Source organism: Homo sapiens, chromosome 4 (assembly GCF_000001405.40).
Source record: "Homo sapiens chromosome 4, GRCh38.p14 Primary Assembly".
Taxonomy (NCBI): domain Eukaryota; kingdom Metazoa; phylum Chordata; class Mammalia; order Primates; family Hominidae; genus Homo; species Homo sapiens.
The window spans coordinates 9,382,821-9,392,122 of NC_000004.12; the positions used below are offsets into that span (position 1 = coordinate 9,382,821).

The 9,302-nt window shown below is 36.7% G+C and overlaps 1 pseudogene; it reads right to left on the reverse strand.

The window, feature by feature from the left end:
• Positions 1-1,196: 1,196 nt before the first annotated feature.
• On the reverse strand, positions 1,197-6,326 carry LOC105378242 (zinc finger protein 705A-like; annotated as a pseudogene).
• Positions 6,327-9,302: the final 2,976 nt, after the last annotated feature.

Here is a 9,302-nt window from a genome sequence, read left to right on the forward strand (position 1 = left end):
GCCAACATACTAACTTTTTTCAACAACAGATTGTATTCTTTCAATATTTGTAAGTATTGATCTTTTGGAAAAGTTTAATGAGATTTCTTATATAATTCTGCATTCAATTTATTCCCTGGTCACTTTGTTATTATGAATTTACATGCCACATCTTTATGAATAGATATTTTCTCAAATTTCTGAATTATTTTGCTAAAGTATGTGTTAAGTGTTTTTTCTAGAGGTCCACCTTCTTGACTCACTTTTCTGATGAGAAATCTATCAGGTTTCTCCACAGTGATTTTCAAGTTTGATGTCTCCTCAATGTGAGAAACTTAATGTCAACTAAGAAATGAATTACCACTAAAGAATTCTCTCCTTTCAAGATGCTAACCATGTTTTGTCCAGTGTGAAATCTCACATGTGCCACAAGTGTTGCTCCATGAAGAAAGGATTTCTCATGATTTTTTCATTGCATAACTTCTCCAGTAAGAAGAGTTTGGTATTCCAAGAGAATTCATTGCCCTTGGAAAGACTTTCCCTTCTTATTTAGCTTATGAAGGCTTTCCTCTCTTATTTTCCATTTTAGCAGCATTTTATCACTGTGTTTTCTTGTGAACGTCAAGCCTGGTGCTTGGCTGAATGTTTATTCACAGAAAATACAAATAAAGGTCCATCCAAGTAAAGTTTTCTCATGTTATTTGACAATAAATTGCAAATAAAAACATTTTCACACTGAATGCAGAGTTAGAGATTCTCTAACTGAAAGTCCCACATGTTTTAAGTTAAAGCTGTTGCTGAAGACTTTTAGTTGATTATGTTGACAGTTTCAGCTCTCTCATGTCATTTATGCTCAGATCACTAACAAGTCTTTGGTACATACATGTCATACAATTTCTCTTCCATATGAATGTATTGATGTGGACTGAAGAATAAAGGTAACTGAAGTATCTTCCATGTTGTTTACAGTATTTCTTCAAAATGTGAGTCCTTTGGCATTTTTAGATGCTACAACTACAGCTGAAGTCTCTTCCACATTCCTTACCTTCGTCATTCCTATCACCGTGTCATCTAAAGTCAGAATATGTTCTGAAGAAGTTTATAATTTTCTCTCCTGGGTGAATTTTCTGATGCTATTTAAGATTAGTACATTGACTGAAGGCTTTCCCACATAAATGGCATTCATATGGCTTTTCTCCAGTGCTTGTTCTCTCATGTCATCTAAGGTCGGAAGACAGACTGAAGGCCTTCCCACATAGAAGGCAAGCATGTGGTTTCTCTCCAGTGTGAATTATTTTGTTTCCTCTAAAGCCAGAGCTTTGACTAAAGGCTTTCCCACTTTTATCACATTCATAGCACTTTTTTCCAAGGTGAGTTCTCTCATGTCTTCAAAGGTTAAAGGATTGAATAAAGGCTTTCCCACATTGAAGACTTATATGGTCTCTGTCCCGTGTGAGTTTTCTCATGCCTTCTAAGGTGAGAACACTGAGTGAAGGCTTTTCTACATAGATGACATGCATTTGGCCTCTCTCCAGTGTGAGTCATCTTGTGCCATCTAAGGTGAAAACAATTAGTATAGGCCTTTTCACAAAGATTACACTGATATGATTTACCTTTAGTATGAATTTGTTTATGTGGTTTAGGGGACAAAAGATTATGAAGGCATTTTCCACACTGTTTGCTGACATAGGGTTTCTTTCCACTATGAGTTAACAAACACTGAGTTATTGTGGAACTGTGAGTGCAACCTTCTCCCAAATCATTACATTCAAAAGGATCATCCAGAATGAGAGAGTTCTCCTTTGGGGCAAAGATTTAAAGCTCTTAATGGTTTACCCACATATATCTATACATTCATTTCACTACCTTTGAATCCTAGACCAACCATTCAGTGGTAGACCCCAGTTGAAATCTTTCCAATGTTTCTTGTGTGAAAGGAAATTAAATTTTGGGACCCCAAACTCATTTAACCAAAGGGAAAATCAAGCTGGGAATTGGGTCACACAAACCTGCCTCCCCCTTCTGGTTCCTAAATAATATGGCTACAAGATGAAAAGCTACATGCCTCCCCCATATTTTGCCCATGAGGAAATCCCTCATGAGCTGTTAAAATTACACCATGGCAATGCAAACTGATAACTTGTCTTTACAGGTGCAGTCACCCCCAGTTCACCAGACACAAATGCATATATGATTGTTTCCCTGCCCCATTTTGCCTATGTTGTCTTATGTAAAATGCAGCTTTGCTGCATTATTCCTCTGCCTCATTTGTTTATGTCATCTTATGTAAAAAAATCCAGATTCACTGAGCCAGAAAAATGCATGAATGACTATTTTTTTCTACCCACCTTTTACATGAAAATTGTGTACTTCTCAATATCACACCCTTTCCCCTTTAAATTTGGAGCCTTCAAAATCATCTTTGGAGAAAGGCATACACCTGTCCCCTGGGTGCATGTCCTTAACTTTGGCAAATAATTCTCCTAAAATTATTGAGACTTGTCTTGTCATTTTTCTCGATTGACATTTGCATACACGTTATCTCCTGCAGACACAGATATGTTCTCTTCTGTAACATCTCAACTGCAGAGTTATTGCATAATTGTGATTATGTAAATATCTTTCAATGCCTGGGCATGAGCAATGTATATGCACTTGTTCTATTTTAGAGATCTCATATTATGGTTTAGAACACAGGTCAATGTATTCACTAAATTCAAAGCATCTAATTTTTTTTTTTGCTTACAAAGCACTTAATGCCAGCCTAATTACACTCAGGTGATTGTGCTTCATTACTAACTTAACCCATTACCATGTCTTTAACTTAGATGACTGGTGTACACAGCTATAAAACTTACCATTGTCATACTGGTGGATGCATCTTTTCTGATGATAGGATGCATGGATATCGTGTGTGTTTTCTTAAGGGCACTTTCCCTGTCTGAAATAATTGAAAAATAAATTGTTACATTGGTATTATGGTAATAAAATTGTTTGAAAAGCCCCAAGGCCCATTCACTTTTTTTCAAAAATTGACACTTAGATGTGGCAAGTGTGTCAAATGAAGAAACTACTTGAATAGAAGAAATAGATTGTACAGTGTCAGCAATTAGAAAAGATTTTTAAAATTAAAATGTGAAAAGAGTTAAAATGGAGATGAGATATCAGGCAGGTAAATAGAGGGATAGTCTTCACAGGGGTATCAGGAAAAGAGTCAGCATATGAAAGTTTAACCCCAGCCAAGTACATGAATTATCCTTTTCCCAAAAGTAAAAGAAAAGAAAAAAAAGAGGACACAAGAGTAGCATCTGACACATGAACAAAATGATAATAACATCTAAGGAATTCTGCTCCAGTAGCCTAGCCTACATTTTAGAAATTATCACTCATTTAATAAAACCACTAATTAATATTCAACTGATATTATTCATTGACAAAGCACCTCCTCCTATTAGAGCACAGGACCCTGTTGCTTACCTGGATTCTGGTCTTGAAGAAATTCTCTTCCTTCCCGCCACAGCTCTTTTCCTTGCTCCAGCTGCAAAATTATATAGGATTTGCTCATCTGGTACCCTGTTAGTGGAAAGAATACATGTGTTTTGAGTTCACTGTCAATAAATGTGCATTATCACCAAGTGTAAGGCAGGCTATCAAGGAAGAATAAAAACAGTGAAGGTCAGCTCAGGCCACAAGACCTAGAACACAGAAAACTCCCCAGGATTTTTCTGACCCAACGTGAGACTAGAAAATAAATCCAAACCAAAGGTCCATCAGGAAAAGGAAATTCAAAACAGTCAAGACCTATGAATGCTGAGTCCATGCCTAAGTTCCAAGACACAATGCATAATACACAATCTTTTCAGAAAGAGAGTAATTAAATCTCTGCACAGTGTGTTTATTATTATTCTCACGCACAACAAAAAAATCATTCGTTTTAGAAATATAATTGGTGTTCTATATGGAAAAGATATTGCTATTGTTTTCACTAATTGGTCTCAGCCTAGGCATAGACTAAAGCAAAAGAGTTATTTAGAAAATATTTAATGTAATACATTGAAAATATTCATCAAGTTCCCAGGTCTGTTATGAGTATTAGAGACTGAGTACCAAAGAAACCATGAAATCCTTGTCAAGACTACATTCTAATTGAGTGACAAACTAAATAAAATAAAATAAAAAGAAAGATATTTATTTCAGATAGATTTAGAGAGTTCAAACTTTTTTCAGATGAGATCTGTGAGAGAAGCAGAGAAGAGATTAGAGTGAGATGTGGGGAAGCTGTTCTAACACTTATTGAATGAATGAGCGAATGTGTGTCTACATATGTACGTGAATGTTGAGGGACTCACCGAGGGACACCAGATGACTGATATTTTCCAGCGTCACATCTCTGTACAGCTTTCTCTTGGATGTGTCCATCATGGCCCACTCTTCCTGGGTGAAGTCAATAGCTACATCTTCAAAAGTCACTTTCTTCTAAAACATCACAGACATTTTAGTTTAGACAGAGAAATCCCTTTCAATGTCCGGAAGGGGAAGGCTGAGATGACATAGCTAGGAGCTGGGTATGCAGAATAATCAGTGTTTTGGTTCCAGCCAGTTCATTCTCAGTGCTAAGCTGGTATCTGCCTTTCAGATTCACTCACAGAGATATACCCACTCTGAATCCATTAAACTTTACTATAAAGAAATATCGCATGAGGTGTGGCATAATATAACCCAGATATTTTTCAGTAATGTGTTAATCACCTCTACATAACTGATTATAAAATTTTCACTTGAACATTCATAAATAAAATGAAATTTACCATGAATTTCAAGTAAATTACAGATTTGCCACAAGGCAAATAACCATGATTTACTACTTTTTAAACATGACTGTGATGAAATAAATTATTTCTCTAGATGAACCACAGGTTTCTCACCAATCAAATGGTTAAAAGACCTATGATGTGTTTTGAATAATCTAATGAACTAATAGAAAACGTGTTTCCTATCTAGCAAATATTTATTAAATATAAGTCATTGGTCCCTTACTCATTAAAAAGTTAGAAAGTAATGACCCAGACTCCAGCATTCTTCAGAACTGAACAAGCTTTATGCAGAATATAGGATTCAATTCATACATATAGTCTCTCTAATGTTATATAATTCAGGTGTTCATGACAAGGCTTAAAGACAGTCTAGCAGCACAAGACAAGACCGCTGAGGCTGCTATACTGAGGAAATCTTAGTCTGGTGATTCCTGTGATATGAAGCCTCCTGTTCTCAACTTTCTCTCGGCAATCCAAACATCAGTTGTCATTGTTTCTCTTTTAAATTTACCTCGTCACTTCACTTGTTCAAAGATTAAAAAAGCCTCTTCATTGTTTTTTTTTTCTAACTAGCCCTTATAAAGCATTTCCACAGAACCCTAAATTGTACTCTATCTACTATATTCCTTCTTCTGAGTGTGCAACCATAATTAAATAATTATATTTCTTATATGTTACTTACAGCTACCAGAAGGCAAAAAGGTTAATTACCAAAAGGTAAAATGAATGGGGATAAGAATAATAATGACTTCTTTAGTTGTCCTTTCACAAAGTTTTTAAAAGCTCAAATATATTTTATCAAACTCTTCTTTTCCCTCAACACTGCACAGCTCTTACCCAAGTCCTATCACACTGGATTTATTGAACTCAGCTGCTAGAACATCAGACTCATTGTTGGGCTGTGATGTTCTGCTCTTACTCATCTCTATCACCTGCATTCATCACAATCCTAAGTCTATTTCAGCCAACAGTACAGTTAATGGGTCAATTATTTCCCTATGAGATTATAGGATGGATAGAAGAAAAAGAAATATATAAATGAAACCTTTCATATCTTTTTTTTGTAAATAGCCTTAATAGGGGCTGGAATAAAGTAGTGTAATATTAGAAATTATATTGATAATTTAGGAGTCTTTGACACACGATACCCAACCTAAAGTCCTGAGAAAACTTAATTGGAGACCAGATACCTGAAAGCCTCCTGATTGCATTTGGAACACCCAGGCTGGGTGGATTTTACATCATAAAAACAAACAAAAAAAAGAATAAAAATGAAACACCCATGCAAATTGGAGAAAACTGCCCGTTTGCCAGCAATATAGGTATAATTTCAGTAGAAAGAGGCATCCCCTACTCACTAGTGAATGCATTGTCAGGAACTCAATTTCTCTCTGTCTTTCTCTGGATTTCCACTTGCAGACACTTTAGGCACTAAGAAAAGCTGAGGTTGGAGAAAGAACATGTGAGACACCAGTCTTGTGCACAATTTTCAGATCAACCTGTGATGAAAAGCCAGACTTTCACTGAAGTGTGACACCACCTACACCACAGCCTAATCAACAGACACAGACACACAGAGGCCTCTCCTCTTTTCCTGTGGTCAAAATTAGGAAGCCTATGACTATGGTTGCTAACCAAGAAGGAACACAGATATTTTGTGAATGAGAACATCAAAAGCACGGAATTTTGTATGTTAATTGGCACAAGTCCAGATATTCAATTCCCTCGCTGATTTTAAAACACAGGGATCCCTGACTCCATCTACATGTGGAATATGATTTCCACCTATAGATAAACACTGGGGTTTCTCAGATTTTATTATCCTAGCTTTATGCCCTAGCAATGTTTCTCCAACACCCACCACAGCCTCCTGAAGCCTTACTCCACTTTTACTTTCACTCAACTCCGACTTTTGTATTTCCCTTTGGAACTTGGAAATAATCAAGTAAGAATCTGTTTTAGGGTCAAGTGCGGTGGCTCACACCTGTAATCCCAGAACTTTGGGAGGCCAAGGCAGGTGGATCACCTGAGGTCAAGGGTTCGAGACTAGCCTGGCCAACATGGTGAAACCCCATCTCTACTAAAAATACAAAAATTAGCTAGCTGTGGTGGTGCTTGCCTGTAATCCCAGCTACTCAGGAGGCTGAAGCAGGAGAATCTCTTGAACCCAGGAGGCAGAGATTACAGTGAGCCGAGATCCCACGACTGCACTCCAGCGAGGGCGACAGAGCGAGACTCTGTCTCAAAAAAAAAAATCTGTTTTAGGATAGGGATAATCAATTCAGGGATTTATTTCCCTTAGAGGGTCAACACTCCCATCCTGCTACCCTTAGAGGGTCAACACTCCCATCCTGCTAATCTAGCCCTTAAAATCTCCTGCATCAGAAATTAGCAGGAGTACCCTGAGTCATGGTGTTTCTTTCCTGTGTATACAGTCACAATCCTCTAGGATGCTCAGAAAATACAAAATGACTTAGGGGTGGGAGAAATTTAGCAGCTCAATCTGATATTTTACTAATGTGGTATCTAAAATTCTTGCAATCATGGTTTATATTAGTCTTTGTTAGTTGCAATATCTCTGATTATCATGATACATATTTGCTGAGAAATACTGATGTCCATGTATATATTCATACATAGATATGTAGGTATATAGGTGCATATGTTTATATGAATGTATGTGTTTGAGACAGGGGGAAACATGCATGTATTATTTCCCTGCTAAAAATATAAGAATAATTAAATATATTTTATGTACAAATGATAGTTATGTGTCATAAACAAAAAATTTACTGACACATTTGTACATGAAGTCCAGGAAAAATAAAAAGGGTAACTTTGTATTAATTGTGACATTGTGCTTACAGATGTACATATATTTCCTTATTTAACCCTCATAATACCCCTGCTGATTACAGTTTATTTACCAATTTAATAAAGGATCAACAGTTTGAAAAATATGACAAAATTACAAAATTAGAAAATGACCCAGCAATACTTTTAATTATATTCTGCCTGTCGATGCCTTTTCTTGCTTTTTGACAAAATTACTCCCCTAACCAAGGTTCTCTATGATTCTGGGGACTCCAGTATTTAGACCCCAGTTCCCAAACATCATTTTGTCTATTTTTACTGCCACATTTAATGCACATTTACAGACTTCAACAAGCACTTTTCATTATGAAATTTTTTCTTATTCCTTGGACTATTTTCTACATCTGTTCATCAAGATTCCAGTAACATATGACTCCATCTGCCTGTCCCTTCCATGAATGTACCTGACAGTACATGTATTATGTAGTCTATAATTCAAGCAGAACAGATATTCCCTCAAAAAAATAAGATATTAGAGAAGGCCTACAAATCTTCAGTGAAACCAGCTGTAACCCTTAATATTATTACCATGTAAACTCTTCCTCGAATATCAAAATAAGATTTGGGCTTTAGAGAATATTTGTGTGTAATTATAACCCAAACATGAATGAAAAGTCATTTAACTGATCATATACAGACTGTGCCAGGGAAGAAAAAGGACAAATATTATAAGAAAGTTAAAGCATACTTATTTCATAAAGGACTCTTGTGTGGAATCTATAAAAACTATTTCAAGATGTACAGATTCAATATATTTTAAAACACATACATACACAAGCAATCTTTAGGAGAAACTTTTAAAAACTTATGTTATGGGTCTAAAATTTTCATTAATTCATGGAAAAAAAATGTATTAACAAACTTTTCACCAGAGCAGGAATAACAACTTATGTATTTGGTGACTTCAAGATGAGAGCCTGTACAGCTTAGTATCTCCCTCCAGATGTCTCTCTCTTTTTTTTTTTTTTTTTTTTTGGCGGAGTTTCACTCTTGTTGCCCAGGCTGGAGTGCAGTGGCGTGATCCCGGCTCACCGCAACCTCCACCTCCCGGGTTCAAGCAATTCTCCAGCCTCAGCCTCCTGAGTAGCTGGGATGACAGGCATGCGCCATCGTGCTTGGCTAATTTTGTATTTTTAGTCGAGACGGGGTTTCTCCATTTTGGTCAAGCTGGTCTAAAACTCCTGACCTCAGGTAATCCTCCAGCCTCCGCCTCTCAGAGTGTTGGGATTACAGGCGTGAGCCACCGTGCCCGGCCCAGATCTCTTAAAAAGTCATGAGGAAGGAGCCATTCTGCATCCTCAATATTACCTTAATATTTTAAGGGCATCCGTAAAAATTAAGAGGCCGACTTGTGACTTCCTAGCCCTTTCACGGCTATTTAGACACACCTTAGTGAAGTATTAGGAATGCATTATTAGGTCTCAAGTTCCTGGACAACAAAACCATGTTCTCCAACAGATCTTCAGTAAAAATAGCTGATGTCTATATTCTTTTGCCTGTCCTTTCCCTTCCTTTAATTCAGAACTGCAGTCTCGAAAAGTGTTATTATTTAGTAGATTCTCTCAATTCTCAACACCAGTGCTATACAATGTTGAATGACATCTCAGGTGCTTGTTAGGGAAACAGCAGCTGACA